The sequence below is a fragment of the Homo sapiens genome, chromosome 1, assembly GCF_000001405.40.
Source record: "Homo sapiens chromosome 1, GRCh38.p14 Primary Assembly".
Taxonomy (NCBI): Eukaryota; Metazoa; Chordata; class Mammalia; order Primates; family Hominidae; genus Homo; species Homo sapiens.
The window spans coordinates 89,406,867-89,427,823 of record NC_000001.11 but is presented as its reverse complement, the minus strand read 5'-3'; the positions used below and the strand labels follow the sequence as shown (position 1 = coordinate 89,427,823).

General features: G+C 38.8%; 1 pseudogene across 1 annotated transcript, besides 1 other annotated feature; it reads right to left on the bottom strand.

The window, feature by feature from the left end:
* Positions 1-2,889: 2,889 nt before the first annotated feature.
* On the bottom strand, positions 2,890-20,145 carry GBP1P1 (guanylate binding protein 1 pseudogene 1; annotated as a pseudogene). Its single transcript, NR_003133.2, has 5 exons — positions 20,066-20,145; positions 17,316-17,524; positions 7,506-7,633; positions 6,604-6,743; positions 2,890-3,566 (listed from the first exon to the last, which is right to left on the bottom strand). The product of NR_003133.2 is annotated as a guanylate binding protein 1 pseudogene 1 (transcript).
* Positions 9,511-10,091: an enhancer, noted in NCBI's record as "NANOG-H3K27ac-H3K4me1 hESC enhancer chr1:89883292-89883872 (GRCh37/hg19 assembly coordinates)". NCBI's record gives its function as "activates a minimal SCP1, AML or CMV promoter by ChIP-STARR-seq in naive H9 embryonic stem cells {active_cell/tissue: H9 hESC(naive)}" and the evidence as "EXISTENCE:reporter gene assay evidence [ECO:0000049][PMID:30033119]".
* Positions 20,146-20,957: the final 812 nt, after the last annotated feature.

The window sequence follows — 20,957 nt, the reverse complement described above, 5'->3', positions numbered from 1 at the left end:
AGGAGGCATTTGCCATGTGATTGGATCAGAGGTAGCTCAAGGTAATAAAAGGCCTCAAAGCAATTAGAAAAGACAGAATTATTAATGTGGATTTAATGGCATTAACTGCTTCCCTCCTTTTTTCTCACTGTGTTATTTTGAATAACCACATAGTTTTTTCAAGATTCTAATATATATAATCTAATCCATATGATTTTTGTACGTGTGAGTTACACAAGGCCGGTATATAAAACTTTGACCAATGTGTCTGTAAATCAGAGTTCTGCAAACTATGGCTTATGGGTGCCACCCTGTTATTGAAAATAAAAATTGATTGGAACATAGCCACACCTATTGGTTTATGTATTTTCTATGGCTGCATTTGCACTACATGCAGAGCTGAGTACTTGAGACAGACTGTATGACCTGCGAAGTCATAAATAGTTACTATCTGGTATTTTCAGAAAAGATTGCCAACCATTGCTATAAAGACTAAAACCTTCTTTTCTGACAAAAATAACTGCAAAAAGAAAACTTAATCAGAAATAAGAAGCCTAGTGAAATACATTGTATTTACAGTTCAGAAATAATTTTTAATTGCTATAAGAAACATCAACCACTTTCCTAGGACTTTTGACACATGAGATAAAGTCTATGTATACTAAGTAAACACAAGAACATTATTAAATGGGTCAAAAATGTCAAAAAACATCCGATATTCTCTTCTGGGGAAACTCAGCAAGATTTCAAGTATGAGTGTTAAGAATTAGAAAAGACTAGCATAAGCTTTAGCATTCTAAATAATAAGTAATTGAATTAATTCAATTCTGTTACACAGCATCTTTTAAAGTCAATCTTTGCAAATTATACATTGCCATAAATACAGTGTGTAATTGGCATTATGTGACTTTGTTTAATCCAGTGTCAACTGTCTAATGGTCTAAAGTGTCCCATTAAAGTTATAATCTGGATGAACTGAACAAGAAGAAAAGTTTTCTTCTTTAGCCCATTTGTTTATCACTCAATTCCTGCTCCTGCTCATGGTTTCTTCCACCTACCTCTGGAGAACATAAAGGGATTCTAGATCTCTGTATAAGGTGGTTTGCTTTAGCTTGAAATCATCAGTGAGGACAATACATGGGCAATGTCCACAAATCACATTATTGCTCATAGACTGTGTAGCCCTGATCTAATGGATAACTGTACATTGTCTTCACTAAGAAGCCAGGGTGGTTGTCCTTGATATTGGGACATTGTAGACTTGGCCAGACCAATGCCCAAATATTTCCCAAGACTTTTACCTAAGACTCTGCTCAGTACCCATTTGTCTACTGCTGGTCATCTGGAAGAATAAACTCCTGGGTGGTACCAGCTCATGAACCTTCCTGAGTTGGTACAGAGGTAAATGCATCTTTTTTGCACAATTTACAGTCTTTTTTTTTTTGGAAAAAACATGATTTTGATCATTGTACTGCATGCCTTTATAAATTTTGGTGTTATGATGCAAGATCTAATTATTATCAAATGTAGTGTCGCTTGTTCCAAATTCTAAAATTGTTTCAATTATGCCTTGGGTAGGGGTGACAGGAAGGCTCTGGTCTTTAGTTTATGGTACATGTCCTTGGTTGTATCATTGTCCTCTGGAGATTCTGTATCTCATTTTGGATTCTTCTGCTTACGTTTTCAAATCTCTCTTTTAGTAGTCGCTCTTGTTCCTAAAGAGGGACAAACGGAGGCTGAATAAAGTGTGGCATCGGGAAAATTGAAATATTCTATCTGGTTTCCACATTCAATGATTTGTTATTTAATTTTCTCTTAAACTTTTCTCTAGCCTTAATTTTCATTATACTTTTGCTTGGGCATCCAGGCTCAGTGATTTCTTCTCCTGCGAATCCTTTAGCTAAGAGAGAGTTTCAGCCATACATTTTGCTATGTTTGATGAACCTAAATTACCAGGCTTGATTTTCCCCCCATTAATTGTATACAGCCTTGGTGGGCAATCTTGATCATATGTTTGGCTTCAACTCTTATCTATGCATTATACATTCTTTTATATACCTACCTACATGTTTACTATTTGTCAGGCTCACGACTATGCCACAGGTCATGCTGAGGTCGGGAGGGAATGGGCGGATGAGCCGAAAGAATACTCAGCGGGCCGTGGGCAGGTGAATATGATTTTATTCAGCACCAGCTCTTAACAGCTTTCTCACACTAGCTGTCTACACTGTCTGCCTTGTCTTGGCTGCTTAGCCTGGCAGCCCCCCACACAGCTGTGCAGCCGGCTCTTCCCTGCCTTCAGGGTCAGCAGCTTAACTCTTTCTCTCTCTCTAGGCATGAGTGGCCTGAGCTGTGTCCTGGTTCCTCTCTGTCTGCAAAGACGGACAGCTTTGGCTTTCTCTTTGGGCGCCAGCACCTGCACAGTGTCAACAGGGAATTATACCTTTTATAGACAATAGTGGCTTAGAGCCAAGTGATGGCCTTCCCTATGTTATGGCTATGGTGGTGAGCTTCTCTATGTTATGTCTGCATGGCTGTGATGACAAGTGGAGTTATACACCTGTGCTCTAGACTCGCTGAGTCATGCAAGATGTAAACATCGTACTTTGGCCTATCCTTGACCAAAGCACAGCCATGTTCCTTACACTAGTATGTATATAACATAACACAGAAATAAACAAAGTATCCTCAAAATCTCATAAGGTGTATGAATCATGGATTAGGAAATTTGATCTAAGCTGCCACACCTTGGTGTCAGGGGTAGCAGAAGATAGGTAAGAAATCTGAGTGCCAGACTGACCATACTGAGTTTCTGCATATAGCTCACAACTCAAAACAAACTGGGAGCAGGACATAAAAAATTGTCAGAATTAGCAGAGTATCACACAGGTGTGAGGGTTAGGAGACTTTCTGCTCACAAAGGTTTTCTTAAGTTTAATTTCATACTAGGTGTCACAGAAAAAAATAATCATTGTGGATTCCACTAAGTGATGAAGACAGCTTTGATACATTTACTAGCTGTGTGACTCTATTTATTTATTATTTTTGGAAACTTTGTTTCTTCTCCTAAGTAATAAGAATATAGTTCTTGCTTCACATGGTATTAAGCAAGAGATACAGATACTTTAATGATGGCTAGCAGATAATACCTGCCTTGAAATGAAGGATATATAGATAAAGCACTGAATGTGACACAACTGCAATATTTGCAGTTTAGTGACCAGACTTGGCAGTAGCCAGTTCAGGCTGGACAGACAGGAATTGAAAAGTACAAGTAAGCAAGCAGGGTTCTTCCCCTGGGCTTCATGTTCTCTCTGCCACAGTAAGCCTGTGATCGGGGAGAATGGAGAGAAAACAGAAAAACAGAAACCTCAAGGTGATGCAATTAGACACCTGAAGTTTAAGAGCGAGGGTCCTCTCTTGCTCTTCCAGCAACTGGACCCTGTCGCTCTCCATCTTCTCAGTCAGTTGTTTCAAGTGTTCCTGATAACTCCTCTCCTTCTGTTCCATCATCTGCTCATTCTTTCTTTGCATTTGCTGCAACATTTTTGCTGAAGCCTGTGCAGACTCAGCTTTCACACGTTCCACTGTGGAGGAAAAGAAAGAAGGAAAATTTGTGTGGGGTTATCTTGTTGCCTCATTGTTCCTTATACACTTACCTGTCGTTGTTGCTGACTGCATATGCCCTACTCAGAGATGACCTCGGCAAGTAAGACACACCTTTGTGGATCTTGCTCTAGTTAAAGGGTCCCATGTTTATCCAGTCAAGTTATTTCAATTTTTGGAGCTTTTGAGGCCATCTAATCTCTTAACTCACTCCTCACCTTCAATCTCCTTTTCTTTTTCTGTGAGAGTCTGGTCTGTCTGGAGAATTGCATCAGTCATAGACTCCTTGGATTTCAAGTATGTCTGCAGAATCTCTTCAGCCTTAGGACCCAGAGAACACAAAGTGAGAAGTAGGAGACGGCTGTAAGCAGGTGTTCCTGTTTGTCTTCCTGCCATCCTTTCCTCTGGGAATTCTTTCCTTTGCCCTGTTGTCCTTGGTGGTGAAATTCCCTGTCAGAGCGAGAGGCACATGCTCCTGGCAAGCTGATCAGAGCATCCTACTTAGCAGTCATTTTTAGTAGGCTAATATAGATACTGGGAAAAGGAGAGTCTCTGTCCTGTTTAGATTAAGGGCTCTAAGTTTGGAACTGTTAATGCTGTGGTCCCATATGGGCTGAGCCTGCTGGGGAATGAAGCCATCATTGAGAAAGCAAATATCAGAGTGACTCAGATAGAGGGAGGGTGGGAGGGAGAAAACTGTGGGGATGGGGGAACACTGGACAGAGAGACAGTTCATGATGTTACTTGAAACCTTAGACCCACCTGTCCTGTAAAGCCAGTTTGCAGCCTAAATCAATGAATTACTATTTTTGTTTAAGCAGCCATCATTAGGTTCCTGTCTCTTGCAACAGGAAAAGCCCAGCTGTAATGATGATAATGACAACTTGGTGCTTCATCTGCTAGTTGAATTTGTAACTCAGTAGTTAATTGCACTCTCCTTGATGAGCACCTAGGGCATATCTGGAATAACAGCCTCTTTGCATATGTTATTGAATGAAAGCATGAATGTTATGCAAACAAAAAAGCACATCTGTGTGCAGTGAAGCTTGGTCACCTTGGTGTTTGTAGGAGGCAGGTCAGCAGGTTTCCATAATCGACAGATGAATTTTGGTTACCTGTATCCCCTTCCTCGGTTCCTCATAGTACTTTTTCTCCAGGTCTTGTAACTTCTGAATAAAGAGACGATAGCCCCCTGGTTTCGAATAAATTCCCGCCTTCACTTCTTCTTCTAGAGGACTGAAAATGACCTGAAGTAAAGCTGAGCAACGATCTGATGATGCTTCCTGATTCTGTTTACAAAAGTCATCCCGCTTTTTGTCTAGCTGGGCCTTTAATGTAAAAATAGGAAGTAAAAAGAGTAACAGGGAAAGGATGTTAGCTTGACCTCAGAATTTCGGGAATGACTTCTGAAAATAAAAGTCAATGATGCTGGAGAAATTGACAGACTCCTCACCAGGACCACACTCTTCCTTCTGACCCCACTTTCTACTGAAGTCGCTTTCTTTTTGGAGGTGAGGTTCAGGACCGAGATTGATAGCTTTATGTCAACCGTTAGAGGAAAACTCTGGTTTTGCATATTGGACTAATGATTTCATATGGAATAAATGTGGCTGAACAGAAGCATGCTCAAGATAAGCAGGATGAAAGTTTTCTTTGTGTTTGGCTAGAATATCAAATCAGTCTGAGAAGAGTGGGCAGGTAATTTTATTAGAAGCTCTGGTTATCAGTTGTATGCATTTAGGTAAAGGGAAAATTATTCAGGAAAAAATGTTTTAAAACTTTGAGTCTGTAATAATACAGTTGGTCCTCTTGATTGATGTGATTACAAATCTGTTGTTGTCACCATTATGAAAGCTAGGAAGAATTACTTCTATCAAAATAATACTCGTTTTCTTTCTTTGTAGTACTTTGTCTTCCATGACCCTAAACCATATAAATTTGAGACAAAAATTACCGCTAACTCCTTTTGAAATAGATGGTCCACATCTTTGAAGGAACTCCTGATGAAAACTTCAGTGGCCTTGCTCTCACTGTCCCTGTGCAGGTCCAGCAGCTCCTGGAGGGTTTCTGTGGGCAGCTGCACCTTCTGGCCCATCTGCTTTTCATAGTGGGCAATAGCCTTTTGCACTGCGGCTGAGTTCTCTATCTGGGCCAAGGCCAGGACTGCGTTCTCCATGCAGGGTAGATCCCCACTGCTGATGGCATTGACATAGGTCAGCACCAGGCTCTCTAGACCTGCCTATGGAGAACAAATGCTAATGTTTCTTGTAGTAAAGAAAGTCTCTATTCCCTGTAATTCTTTTTTTTTTTTTTTTTTTTTTTTTTTTTCAGAAATACAGACTCTTAGACCCTGTCCAAGATCTATTGAATTAGACTTTTGTCTTTGGTAAGATCCTCAGAAGATACGTATGCATACCAACATTTGAGAGTTCTTGTACTAGATTACATAGACCTGTGTTAATTGAATGTTTGCATCCATTTTAACCCCAAGCAACATTAGGACAGGAACCATATCTATTTCATTTATATCTGTATCTTCAGTCTATTCATAGTAAGCATTTGATCAATATGTATGAAACAAATGAAACTATTCCAATAAAAAAAAGTCCTCCATTTAGTTTATTTTATCACAGTTTTGTCCAAAAGCGCTTTCTGTAATGCTAGAAATCTCTCAGTGTCAACACAAAGTCTGGGAAGAAGCTCTCAAAGTCAGCTGAATCCTCATTCTCATTCTCATCAGGTGAAGATTTTGGTTGGACTCGATGTGTCAGCTCTGTCACATAGCTGAGTAGCTAACTAAAGAAATGTGACAAAATGAACATGGACCTCATCCCATATTAGTTCAACACATTCCCAAACCTTCCATTTTCCTTTGTTCTTAACCTAAGTGTCAAGTCTAAAGTGGATATATGGGATCACTCCTCTGTACTTTATGTATTTTATGTTTTCTCCTTTTGAGCTTGATTCATCAGGATTCACAGTCAGGCAGCTGGTTTATGAACACAGGTGCCCTCTGACCTTGGTGCTGTTCTGGGTCACAAAGGATACTGCAGTTGGTCCATGGCCTGCTGGTTAATGGTTCCTATGCTATTGTACATGGAAGTGCTGTTCAGGAGGACGGCCAGGGCGAAGATCCAGGAGTCATTCTGGTTGTCACCCTGGAAGTCAAGACACACTGGAGTCAGGAGCACGTTTCGTAGTCACAGCACTTTCCAGAGTAAGAGTAGTAAAACTATGTTCATATGTTAGAGGGTTTTTGGTTTTTTGTTTGTTTGTTCTTTAGCACTAATGACCTATCAAAGAAGCCAAATACAAAAAGTATTCTCAGTAGGATGTGGCTTTTGGGTAGTTTTTCGATGAATGTTTTGGGTTACAATGATCCTTACTAGGTCTTCTAATGATCATCAACAGATAATTGTAAAATTAAAATTCAAGGTTGGTGGGCATTTTAAGGCCTGAGTACAATGTAAATTTAAAATTTTCTCTTCTTTTTTCAATAACAGAATTCACATATAAGATTGGTACTATTAGTTGCTGTTTTATCGAATAATTAATATACACCTGACACGTATTTTCTTATTAAATATTCAAAATTATACTATGTGGCCAACATAGGTCTTTTCCATACATTTTAAAGCTTAGAATGCTGAGGCTAAAATAGGTCAATTTTCTCAGGCTACTGAATTAGTGACAGAATTTAAATTTAAATACAAAGTCACGGGGCTTTAGCACCCAAATTCTTAACTAAAGTTCTGTGCAGGATAAGACTCATGACACTGGGATTATTTGTGCTCCCTTTATGCATCTGTGTTAACCCACACATATTACAGCCTGTAGTTAATGGTTAATAAACAATTAAACAGTGCATAAAATATTCAGAGAAGAGGGGCTCACTCCACAATTGGATCCTTGAGTCTCACCTTCTCTACATCTCCCAGACCCTCGGTGTCCAGCAGAACTAGGATGTGGCCTGGCTTCTTGGGATGGGGCATACACCACATCCAGATTCCTTTAGTGTGAGACTGCACTGTGGAGCCCAGAGAGAAGCCTGCAAGGGAGAGAGGAGACCAGAGATGGGGATTTAGTAACAGGCAGTTCTAGCAACTGAAGGAAAAGGTAGCGTATTTTAAGGTTAAGAGAGAGAACTGAAACAACAATCAGTATTCACCTTACTTACTTACAATCAAAGAAATAGGAAATTTGAATATCCAATGCATGGAAAAATTCAGGAGGCTTTCACGATAAAAATAATCAACAAAGTAGAAATAGAAAGACAATACCTCAACATAATAAAGGCCATATATTAAAAACCCACAGCTCACTTCACATTTAATGATGAAGTGTCATAGCTTTTCCTATAACATCAGGAACAAGAAAAGGATGCCTACTTTTGCCAATTGCATTCCACAGAACACTGCAAGTCCTATCCAGAGTAATTAGACAAGAAAAGCATAAAGGAGGCATCCTAATTGGTAATGAAAAAGTAAAATTATCTCTGTCTGCCGACGGTAGTATCTAATTTGTGGAAAACATTAAATATTCCACAAAAAACTATTAGAACTATTAAAAGAATTCATCAAAGTTGCAGGATGCAAAGCCAATATGGAGAAATCAGTTGCTAGTGTATAAAAATAGAATTAGAACAGGAATTCTAATTTCCTTCCTAAACAAAAAGAAAAGGAAATTTTGAAAACAATCCCATTTAACAGCATCAAAAGAATAAATCACTTAGGAATAAGCTTAACCAAGCAGGCGCAAGAGTTGTCGAGTGAAAACTTCAAACACCCTTTAAAGAAATTGTAGATGACATAAATCATTAGAAAAACATCCTGCGTTTATGAATTGGAAGACTTAATATTCTTAAGATGTCACTACTACCCAAAGTGATGTACAGGTTTGAGGTAATTCTACCAACATTCCAATTACTTTGTATAAATAGAAAAATCTACCATAACTTTCATATGAAATTTCCAGAGATCCCCTAATTATGAAAATAATCTTAAAAAGGAAGAGAGGAAGAGCAAAGTTGGAGTCTTACAGTTTCTGAGTTCTGAAACTTATTACAAAACCATGTGTGGTACTGGTATAAAGACTGACATATAAACCAATGGAATAGAAAAGACAGCCCATGAATATACTCTGACATATATGGTCAGTGATTTCCAGGATGGGTGTCAAGATCATTTAATTAAGAAAGAAGAGTCTCTTTAACAAATGATGTTGAGGAAATGAGATATCTCCTTAAAAAAAGTTGGGCTCTTACCTTATAACTTACAAATATGAACTCAAAATGGATCAAAGAACCAAACATTAGAGTTAAAACTATAAAATTTGTAGAAGAAAACAAGGGTAAAAGTTATATAATATTGGATTTGGCAATGATTTTTTTTAATAAGAAACCAAAAGTATAGACAATAAAAGAAAAAATAGATTAGTTGACTTCATCAACATTTAAAACTTTTGTGTATTAACAGACACTATCAACAGAGTTAAAAAAAAGCAACACACAGAATGTAAGAAAATATTTGTTAAACATGTATATGATAAGGGATTTATATCTAGAAAATATAAAAAAAATTTACAAAGCAACACAGATAAACAACCAGATTAATAAATGAATAAAGGAGGAGGAGCCAAGATGGCCGAATAGGAACAGCTGGGGTCTACAGCTCCCAGCCTGAGCGACGCAGAAGACGGGTGATTTCTGCATTTCCATCTGAGGTAACGGGTTCATCTCACTAGGGAGTGCCAGACAGTGGGCACAGGTCAGTGGGTGCGCGCACCGTGCGCGAGCCGAAGCAGGGCGAGGCATTGCCTCACTTGGGAAGTGCAAGGGGTCAGGGAGTTCCCTTTCCCAGTCAAAGAAAGGAGTGACGGACGCACCTGGAAAATCGGGTCACTCCCACCCGAATACTGCGCTTTTCCGACGGGCTTAAAAAAACGGTGCACCACGAGATTATATCCCGCACCTGGCTCGGAGGGTCCTACGCCCACGGAGTCTCGCTGATTGCTAGCACAGCAGTCTGAGATCAAACTGCAAGGCGGCAGCGAGGCTGGGGGAGGGGCGCCCACCATTGCCCAGGCTTGCTTAGGTAAACAAAGCAGCCAGGAAGCTCGAACTGGGTGGAGCCCACCACAGCTCAAGGAGGCCTGCCTGCCTCTGTAGGCTCCACCTCTGGGGGCAGGGCACAGACAAACAAAAAGACAGCAGCAACCTCTGCAGACTTAAATGTCCCTGTCTGACAGCTTTGAAGAGAGCAGTGGTTCTCCCAGCACGCAGCTGGAGATCTGAGAACGGGCAGACTGCCTCCTCAAGTGGTTCCCTGACCCCTGACCCCCGAGCAGCCTAACTGGGAGGCACCCCCCAGCAGGGGCACACTGACACCTCACACGGCAGGGTATTCCAACAGACCTGCAGCTGAGGGTCCTGTCTGTTAGAAGGAAGACTAACAAACAGAAAGGACATCCACACCAAAAACCCATCCGTACATCACCATCATCAAAGACCAAAAGTAGATAAAACCACAAAGATGGGGAAAAAACAGAACAGAAAAACTGGAAACTCTAAAAAGCAGAGCGCCTCTCCTCCTCCAAAGGAACGCAGTTCCTCACCAGCAACGGAACAAAGCTGGATGGAGAATGACTTTGACGAGCTGAGAGAAGAAGGCTTCAGACTATCAAATTACACTGAACTACAGGAGGACATTCAAACCAAAGGCAAAGAAGTTGAAAACTTTGAAAAAAAATTTAGAAGAATGTATAACTAGAATAACCAATACAGAGAAGTGCTTAAAGGAGCTGATGGAGCTGAAAGCCAAGGCTCGAGAACTACGTGAAGAATGCAGAAGCCTGAGGAGCCGATGCGATCAACTGGAAGAAAGGGTATCAGCAATGGAAGATGAAATGAATGAAATGAAGTGAGAAGGGAAGTTTAGAGACAAAAGAATAAAAAGAAATGAGCAAAGCCTCCAAGAAATATGGGACTATGTGAAAAGACCAAATCTACGTCTGATTGGTGTACCTGAAAGTGATGGGGAGAATGGAACCAAGTTGGAAAACACTCTGCAGGATATTATCCAGGAGAACTTCCCCAATCTAGCAAGGCAGGCCAACGTTCAGATTCAGGAAATACAGAGAACGCCACAAAGATACTCCTCAAGAAGAGCAACTCCAAGACACATAATTGTCAGATTCACCAAAGTTGAAATGAAGGAAAAAATGTTAAGGGCAGCCAGAGAGAAAGGTCGGGTTACCCACAAAGGGAAGCCCATCAGACTAACAGCAGATCTCTCGGCAGAAACCCTACAAGCCAGAAGAGAGTGGGGGCCAATATTCAACATTCTTAAAGAAAAGAATTTTCAACCCAGAATTTCATATCCAGCCAAACTAAGCTTCATAAGTGAAGGAGAAATAAAATACTTTACAGACAATCAAATGCTGAGAGATTTTTGTCACCACCAGGCCTGCCCTAAAAGAGCTCCTGAAGGAAACGCTAAACATGGAAAGGAACAACCGGTACCAGCCGCTGCAAAATCATGCCAAAATTTTGCATGATCATCAAGTCTAGGAAGAAATTGCATCAACTAATGAGCAAAATAACCAGCTAACATCATAACAACAGGATCAAATTCACACATAACAATATTAACTTTAAATGTAAATGGACTAAATGCTCCAATTAAAAGACACAGACTGGCAAATTGGATAAAGAGTCAAGACCCATCAGTGTGCTGTACCCAGGAAACCCATCTCACGTGCAGAGACACACATAGGCTCAAAATAAAAGGATGGAGGAAGATCTACCAAGCAAATGGAAAACAAAAAAAGGCAGGGGTTGCAATCCTAGTCTCTGATAAAACAGATGTCAAAACAAAAAAGATCAAAAGAGACAAAGAAGGCCATTACATAATGGTAAAGGGATCAATTCAACAAGAAGAGCTAACTATCCTAAATATATATGCACCCAATACAGGAGCACCCAGATTCATAAAGCAAGTCCTGAGTGACCTACAAAGAGACTTAGACTCCCACACATTAATAATGGGAGACTTTAACACCCCACTGTCAACATTAGACAGATCAACGAGACAGAAAGTCAACAAGGATACCCAGGAATTGAACTCAGCTCTGCACCAAGCAGACCTAATAGACATCTACAGAACTCTCCACCCCAAATCAACAGAATATACATATTTTTCAGCACCACACCACACCTATTCCAAAATTGACCACATACTTGGAAGTAAAGCTCTCCTCAGCAAATGTAAAAGAACAGAGATTATAACAAACTATTTCTCAGACCACAGTGCAATCAAACTAGGACTCAGGATTAAGAATCTCACTCAAAACGGCTCAACTACATGGAAACTGAACAACCTGCACCTGAATGACTACTGGGTACATAATGAAATGAAGGCAGAAATAAAGATGTTCTTTGAAACCAACGAGAACAACGACACAACATACCAGAATCTCTGGGACGCATTCAAAGCAGTGTGTAAAGGGAAATTTATAGCACTAAATGCCCACAAGAAAAGCAGGAAAGATCCAAAATTGACACCCTAACATCACAATTAAAAGAACTAGAAAAGCAAGAGCAAACACATTCAAAAGCTAGCAGAAGGCAAGAAATAACTAAAATCAGAGCAGAACTGAAGGAAATAGAGACACAAAAAACCCTTCAAAAAATCAATGAATCCAGGAGCTGGTTTTTTGAAAGGATCAACAAAATTGATAGACCGCTAGCAAGACTAATAAAGAAAAAAAGAGAGAAGAATCAAATAGACGCAATAAAAAATGATAAAGGGGATATCACCAGCGATCCCACAGAAATACAAACTACCATCAGAGTATACTACAAACACCTCTATGCAAATAAACTAGAACATCTAGAAGAAATGGATAAATTCCTGGACACATACACTCTCCCAAGACTAAACCAGGAAGAAGTTGAATCTCTGAATAGACCAATAACAGGCTCTGAAATTGTGGCAATAATCAATAGCTTACCAACCAAAAAGAGTCCAGGACCAGATGGATTCACAGCCGAATTCTACCAGAGGTACAAGGAGGAAATGGTACCATTCCTTCTGAAACTATTCCAATCAATAGAAAAAGAGGGAATCCTCCCTAACTCATTTTATGAGGCCAGCATCATTCTGATACCAAAGCCGGGCAGAGACACAACCAAAAAAGAGAATTTTAGACCAATATCCTTGATGAACATTGATGCAAAAATCCTCAATAAAATACTGGCAAACCGAATCCAGCAGCACATCAAAAAGCTTATCCACCATGATCAAGTGGGCTTCATCCCTGGGATGCAAGGCTGGTTCAATATATGCAAATCAATAAATGTAATCCAGCATATAAACAGAGCCAAAGACAAAAACCACATGATTATCTCAATAGATGCAGAAAAAGCCTTTGACAAAATTCAACAACCCTTCATGCTAAAAACTCTCAATAAATTAGGTATTGATGGGACATATTTCAAAATAATAAGAGCTATCTATGACAAACCCACAGCCAATATCATACTGAATGGGCAAAAACTGGAAGCATTCCCTTTGAAAACTGGCACAAGACAGGGATGCCCTCTCTCACCACTCCTATTCAACATAGTGTTGGAAGTTCTGGCCAGGGCAATTAGGCAGGAGAAGGAAATAAAGGGTATTCAATTAGGAAAAGAGGAAGTCAAATTGTCCCTGTTTGCAGACGACATGATTGTATATCTAGAAAACCCCATCGTCTCAGCCCAAAATCTCCTTAAGCTGATAAGCAACTTTAGCAAAGTCTCAGGATACAAAATCAATGTACCAAAATCACAAGCATTCTTGTACACCAACAACAGACAAACAGAGAGCCAAATCATGAGTGAACTCCCATTCACAATTGCTTCAAAGAGAATAAAATACCTAGGAATACAACTTACAAGGGATGTGAAGGACCTCTTCAAGGAGAACTACAAACCACTGCTCAAGGAAATAAAAGAGGATACAAACAAATGGAAGAACATTCCATGCTCATGAGTAGGAAGACTCAATATCGTGAAAATGGCCGTACTGCCCAAGGTAATTTACAGATTCAATGCCATCCCCATCAAGCTACCAATGACTTTCTTCACAGAATTGGAAAAAACTACTTTAAAGTTCATATGGAACCAAAAAAGAGCCCACATCACCAAGTCAATCCTAAGCCAAAAGAACAAAGCTGGAGGCATCACACTACCTAACTTCAAACTATACTACAAGGCTACAGTAACCAAAACAGCATGGTACTGGTACCAAAACAGAGATATAGATCAATGGAACAGAACAGAGCCCTCAGAAATAACGCCGCATATCTACAACTATCTGATCTTTGACAAACCTGAGAAAAACAAGCAATGGGGAGAGGATTCCCTATTTAATAAATGGTGCTGGGAAAACTGGCTAGCCATATGTAGATAGCTGAAACTGGATCCCTTCCTTACACCTTATACAAAAATTAATTCAAGGTGGATTAAAGACTTAAAAGTTAGACCTAAAACCATAAAAACCCTAGAAGAAAATCTAGGCATTACCATTCAGGACATAGGCATGGGCAAGGATTTCATGTCTAAAACACCAAAAGCAATGGCAACAAAAGCCAAAATTGACAAATGGGATCTAATTGAACTGAAGAGCTTCTGCACAGCAAAAGAAACTACCATCAGAGTGAACAGGCAACCTATAAAATGGGAGAAAATTTTTGCAACCTATTCATCTGAAAAAGGGCTAATATCCAGAATCTACAATGAACTCCAACAAATTTACAAGAAAAAAACAAACAACCCCATCAAAAAGTGGGCAAAGGACATGAACAGACACTTCTCAAAAGAAGACCTTTATGCAGCCAAAAAACACTTGAAAAAATGCTCATCATCACTGGCCATCAGAGAAATGCAAATCAAAACCACAATGAGATATCATCTCACACCAGTTAGAATGGCGATCATTAAAAAGTCAGGAAACAACAGGTGCTGGAGAGGATGTGGAGAAATAGGAACACTTTTACACTGTTGGTGGGACTGTAAACTAGTTCAACCATTGCGGAAGTCAGTGTGGCGATTCCTCAGGAATCTAGAACTAGAAATACCATTTGACCCAGCCATCCCACTACTGGGTATATATCCAAAGGACTATAAATCATGCTGCTATAAAGACACATGCACACGTATGTTTATTGTGGCATTATTCACAATAGCAAAGACTTGGAACCAACCCAAATGTCCAACAATGATAGACTGGATTAAGAAAATGTGGCACATATACACCATGGAATACTATGCAGCCATAAAAAATGATGAGTTCATGTCCTTTGTAGGGACATGGATGAAATTGGAAATCATCATTCTCAGTAAACTATCACAAGAACAAAAAACCAAACACCGCATATTCTCACTCATAGGTGGGAATTGAACAATGAGATCACATGGACACAGGAAGGGGAATATCACACTCTGGGGACTGTTGTGGGGTGGGGGGAGGGGGGAGGGATAGCATTGGGGGATATACCTAATGCTAGATGACAAGTTAGTGGGTGCAGCGCAGCAGCATGGCACATGTATACATATGTAACTAACCTGCACAATGTGCACATGTACCCTAAAACTTAAAGTATAATAAAAATAAATAAATAAATAAATAATAAAATAAAATAAAATATACATTGATTTAAAAAATAAAATAAAATAAAATAAAATAATAACCGGCAGGCCATATTTGTCCCACTGGCCATAGCTTGGCAATCTCTTTTTAAGAACAGTCTATGTAGCATTGGTATTATCTAATATTTGAAAAATTCATAAAATTCCATTATAAAGTCATCTGTGTCTTGTACTTTTGGGTGGGAGTAGTAATTTAATAACTTTCTCATTTTCTTAAACTTTCTGTCTCCATTGGTATCACTGTTAATAATTTCCCTATGGGATTACCCATTTTATGTAGGCTTTTATATCTACCTGCTTAGAGCTGTGTAAAATGATTTAACTCAAAAGTTTAAAAATGTCCTTAGTTTTAGTATGATTTCCTCTTGTTTCGTGTATTATTCTGTGTAACTTTGTTTTCTCCCTGTTTTTCTTGATTAGGTTGGATGTTGGTTTGCATATTTTGTTTATGTTCTATTCAAAGAACTAGCATGTTGATTAATTTATAACATAGCTTACAATCAGAACTAACTGAAGTTCTGCTCTTATCTCTTTATGTCTGTTATGTTTCCTTTTGCTTTATTTTCTTGATCTTTTTTCTAGCTTTCTGTGTTTCACATTAGATTTATGTATTTTAATTTATAATTCTATTGATATATGATTTAAAGACTACAAATTGTTTTTGATAATTATTTTCATTATATTCCATAGATTCTGATATATATATCACTATTTTGATGTTTATATGTTCACCTATTTTGATTTGTATTTTCTACTTGATCTAATAGTTGTTTAATGAAGAGTTTTAACATTTTCAAGTGGAAGAAAATTTTTCTGAATTTAAAAAAAAAAAATAAATGAAGAAAGGACTTGAATAGACATTTTCCCAAAGAAGATATACAGGTGGCCAATAAGCACATGAAAAGATGCCCAGTATCACCAGTCATTAGGAAAATGAAAATCAAAACCATAGTGAGATACTACTTAACATCCATTCATATGGCCACTATCAAAAAAAACACTGAAAATAAAAAATGTTGGTGAGGAGGTAGAGAAATTAGAGCCCTTGTGCATTTCTGTTGGGAATGTAAAACAGTACAGTCACTGTGGAAAATAGTATAGTGATTTCTTAAAAAAAAAAAAAGTTAACATGGAATGACTGCATGAGCCAGCAATTACCCTTCTGGGTATATTCCCAAAAGAAGTGAAAGCAGGGACTTGAACAGATATTCAGACACCCATGTTCCTATTAGCATTATTTATAATAGACAAAAGGTGGAAGCAATCCAATTGTCCATTGACAGATGAAGAGATAAACAAATTAGTATACATGTACAATTACTAAGCCTTAAAAAGGAAGAGTTTTGACACATGCTAACACACTGATGAACCTTGAAGACATATGAATTGAAATAAGCCAGTCATAAAAGGACAAATATTGAATAATTCCACTTATATGAGGTTTCTGTAGTAGTAAAATTCATAGAGATAGAATGTAGAATGATGGCAGGCAATGGGTTTATGTGGAGCTTTTGTTTAGTTAGTACAGAGTTTCTGTTAGGCAAGATGAAAGATTTCTGGATATGGATGGAGGTGACAGCTGTATAACAATGTGAATTTAATTAATGCCACAGAGCTGTACACTTAAAAATGGTTACGAGGTTAAATTTTATGTTATTTTTTTACAACAATAAAAAAGAATATCCAATACAGACAAACATTTTTTCAACCTTAAAGATCACTGTAAACTCGCTGTTATGGCATAAAAATTGTAGTTTATTATAGTTATTATTATGTACATTAATTATTTTTATTACAGTCTTACTCCTTTTAGGAAAGGCACAGTTTGTGCTTTTGAAAGGGAAACTAATGTATCATGGGAATAATTAATGAATTTAAAATTATCCCTTAGAGCAGCGTGAAGATAAGGAGCCCGACTGTGAATGGAAAGTTAGCTTTCCATATTCATCCTCATCTCTTTCTCTCTTCACATCCTCATGATGGAGGCTGACTGTGTAGATGGACAGAAGGGACTTGGCAGAGCTTTGCTCATGCCACTCACCCTTTTTCTTCTGAGCCAGCTTGTTAATCAGGTAGGATTTTCCTGTGCGCTAGCGGCCCACAGTCGCCACCACCACCACAGGCTGCGTAATGGCAGAAAGGATCTTCAGAGCTTCTGGATTCGCCATCAGTCGCCCATTAGTGTTCTCAATGAGGCACATTGGGCCTGTCATGTGGATCTCTGATACCATGTCTGGGGTGTTCCCTTGTCTGCAAGAGAAGAGGTGAAATAAATGAGAGTTTCTAGTGTTTTGCAATTATAAGGGAGAATCATAAGATTCCCCATTATGGCCAAAAGTTTTGTGTGTGACAGCGAGAGAGATGAGGCAAAATCTGTATCATTTGAGAAAATTATGGAAGTATTGTCAAAGTAGCTCATTACAAAAAATGTTAGCATGACAGTGACTTATCAATGTTGTGGGATCCAGGAGGACGAGAGAGAGACCTCGGGTTAAAACAGGAGAATTTTTATTGAGTACACTCAGGCCCCAGCACACTCACATGCAAAGACAGCACTTGACTTTTATACACACTTCACAAAAGCAGGTGGGCTAGCTTGAAGCAAGCTTACAGTGGCATGAAAGCAGGGATATAGAGGCAGGACAAACTCAGGATTACACATGACCATTGCCAAGCAACCCAGATGTCTGTTATCTACGTTTTGCTCTAAAGAGCCTTGCACTGGTTTATATTATAACCTTCACTATGGTGCCCAGGCAGCTGTAGTTCAGGCCTATTCAGGCTTCTCATGACCTTCACTCTACTTCTTAGATAAAACAGAATACTTGAAGTCACTAGTTACAGAGAACAGGAATCTACAAACTTTTCCATAAAACAAAGGAAAATTTATTTTTCTTCTTCCTATGTTGAGGGAGTGCTGGGAGAGTCTCCAGAGCACCTTAGATAGTATTATCAAGACTTTTCCTGGGTCTGGTCTGTGCCTGTTGCTGCCTCTGGGACAAGTCAGCCTAATACAGGAAAACTTATTTCTTTTTATTTTTAATTGTATTTTTCTTTAATTTCCTGCCTCATCAACACTCAACTATGCTCACAACTCAAATATTTCATTTAATTTATAGTGGAAAACTTTCTTTTTGGATTCTTTTTAAATATTTTCACTAGTCAATTAATGGAAGATAGAACAGGATTTAGAGGATTTATTTTGCATCCTGGCTGTGTATAAGGAATTCAATATTGATTTACTTATTAATTCTTACAGTGAATAATACAGTGAATCAGTATTCATAGTTTGATGTTTACCCTTAGAACAATTTCCAAAGATTTTTAAATGTGTTCCTTCCTCCATCTTCAAGTGGTTATGCTTATTTCACCGCAATGAGGATCAATAAAGCTTTTCACGGTGCCATTCTGGAAGTGGAAACAACGTAACATACTTTTGCAAATTTTAGAAAACTATACAAACATGTGAAACACATGGCTGAGGAACCTTCCAAGGACTCTGAAGGGTCATGTCCAAGAGAAGGGCCCTGAAACTTAAGCTGCGTTAGAGTCACAATAAGGTAGCCTCTAACTCAGTGAGGGTATGAATGCAAAATTGCAAATGCTGAATGTTTCCCCCAGATAATGAAATAAGGATTAAAAGATCAAGAGGCAGATAAAGAGAGCTACCTAGGAAGTTGTTCAAATGAAATATATTTCCAGCGATACAGCTTTAGGATTTCTGTTTTGTTCTGTTTTCCATTTGGTAGGGTAGGAGAAAGAGAAATAGAGGAGGAATAGTAGGAGTGGAGAGGAGGAGGAGAAGGGGCTGGGAAGGTGTGTGTGTGTTTGTGTGTGTGTGTGTGTGTGTGTGAGAGAGAGAGAGAGAGAGAGAGAGAGAGAGAGAGAGAGAGAGCGAGAAAGAGCTATCAGACCAGAAGGTGATGAATGAGGCTAGTGTCTTGACAAGGAATTCAGGCGAGGACTTTCCAGAAGGCAGGATTAAAGTAGTCTGATTGCATAGAGAGGTTAAAATAAGCAAAGATATTTTCTCTAGAGATGCATTACAGGAGAATTAAAGAGGAAACACTTTAGGCCCCAGTCTCTACTAAAAGAAGACAAAATTGGAAGCACTTTAGTGAAGCAGTGGGGTTGAATTTCACTTCTAAGGGACAGGGATCAGTGGGCACTAGGAAATTAGTGAGTCTGGACTATTTCTAAAGAAAGTAATCCATTCTGAAACGAAGTTCACAAGTGTAATAAAAAGTATACTGTTTTCATGAATCTTCATCTTTCAGGCTGAGTTTCAGTTTTTTCTTTGTCTTTAACCATGTCAGTGGGCTGATTACTCTGCTTCTCATTTGCTGTTCTTTCCTTATGAAAAGAACCCATTTGTAGCTCTTTCCATTTCTTAGCTGCATAGGAGCAGGATTCAGCAAGCTCCATCACTGATAATGGAAATGTAATCATGTCTCCAGTCAACACAGAGAATGACAACAAAGAGAAAGACTATCCTAGTGCATTTCAAACTCTCAGTTTAGCCCCTGTCTACTGGTGCCTAATTCAACACAAACACTGTAGTGTCACTTAAGGCCATGCTGTCCCTGATAACACCAGGATTTCATCTGACCTGCGTCCCACTTCAGGCTCATCTGCAGCCTAATTTGGTTCTGACGATGTTTAAGAAAATGAACTGACCTTTATAAATTCCTTCCCATCCCTGCCACAACCTTATGGGTTCCATATCCCTGAGCTGAGATCCTTTGGAGCTAAAGAGAAAGCTGCTTAATGAGAAGTAGTAAAAGTTCTTACCTGTTCTTTTTCTCCTTAGTTCATGAGGAGTGGCTTCTAGCACTTCTGTGTCTCTCACTGGATCCTTGGACTAATATTTTACTGTTCCAACGTTGTAGGGCTGGGATTTCTTCAGTGATGAAATATTTAAAGGTTAAGCATATTTGTAATGGATTTAGAGTAATATGAAACTGAAAGTACTTCATTCAAGTCCACTACCATAAATGAAATTACTGGAGTGTGCCAGTGGGAGGGTTTAATGATTGCTCAACCAGAAGCTTCAAAGTTTTTTGTTGGAAATCTTAGAGACCATTTGTTGTCTAACAAAATGCCCATTAGGTTTTGAATACAATGATACATGTCTCATGGATTGAGTCAGTTTGAGAATCCTAGAATGAGGAGGCATCATGTTAATTTTCAGCTATAATTTCCTAAAATAATAGACACACTCACAATGGAGCTGCCTATTCTTTTAGAGGTGCGGTAAATAAGGAAAGGGCATATTTAACACATTGTCTGACATAAAAAGTCAGACAGCTGGAAAAAAATAAGTAGGGAATTTTTCATTTAGATGGTGGGGATGAGGAAGCATCATTTCCTCACTTTTCAGTTCACTTGGTTTGCAGTCTATGGAATCCTTCTAGTAGATAGTCACAGATAAAATTAATTCACAATTTAGTATTATTACATGATGCAATAATTAATGTGTATATGCCTAGTGATTTCAAAGATTGTCTTGATATTAGCATCCAATGAACAGACTGAATTTCAGGTGTGGAATGTTTTGATAATAAGCTTATTTTCACACAAAGAGCTCTATGCAGCCGGCTGTAGAGTTCATAGCAAGAGGGATTCAGTGATTCAGCTGGGGTTACTGAGTCTCATATCAAATGGAAGCAAGACCTGCAAGCTA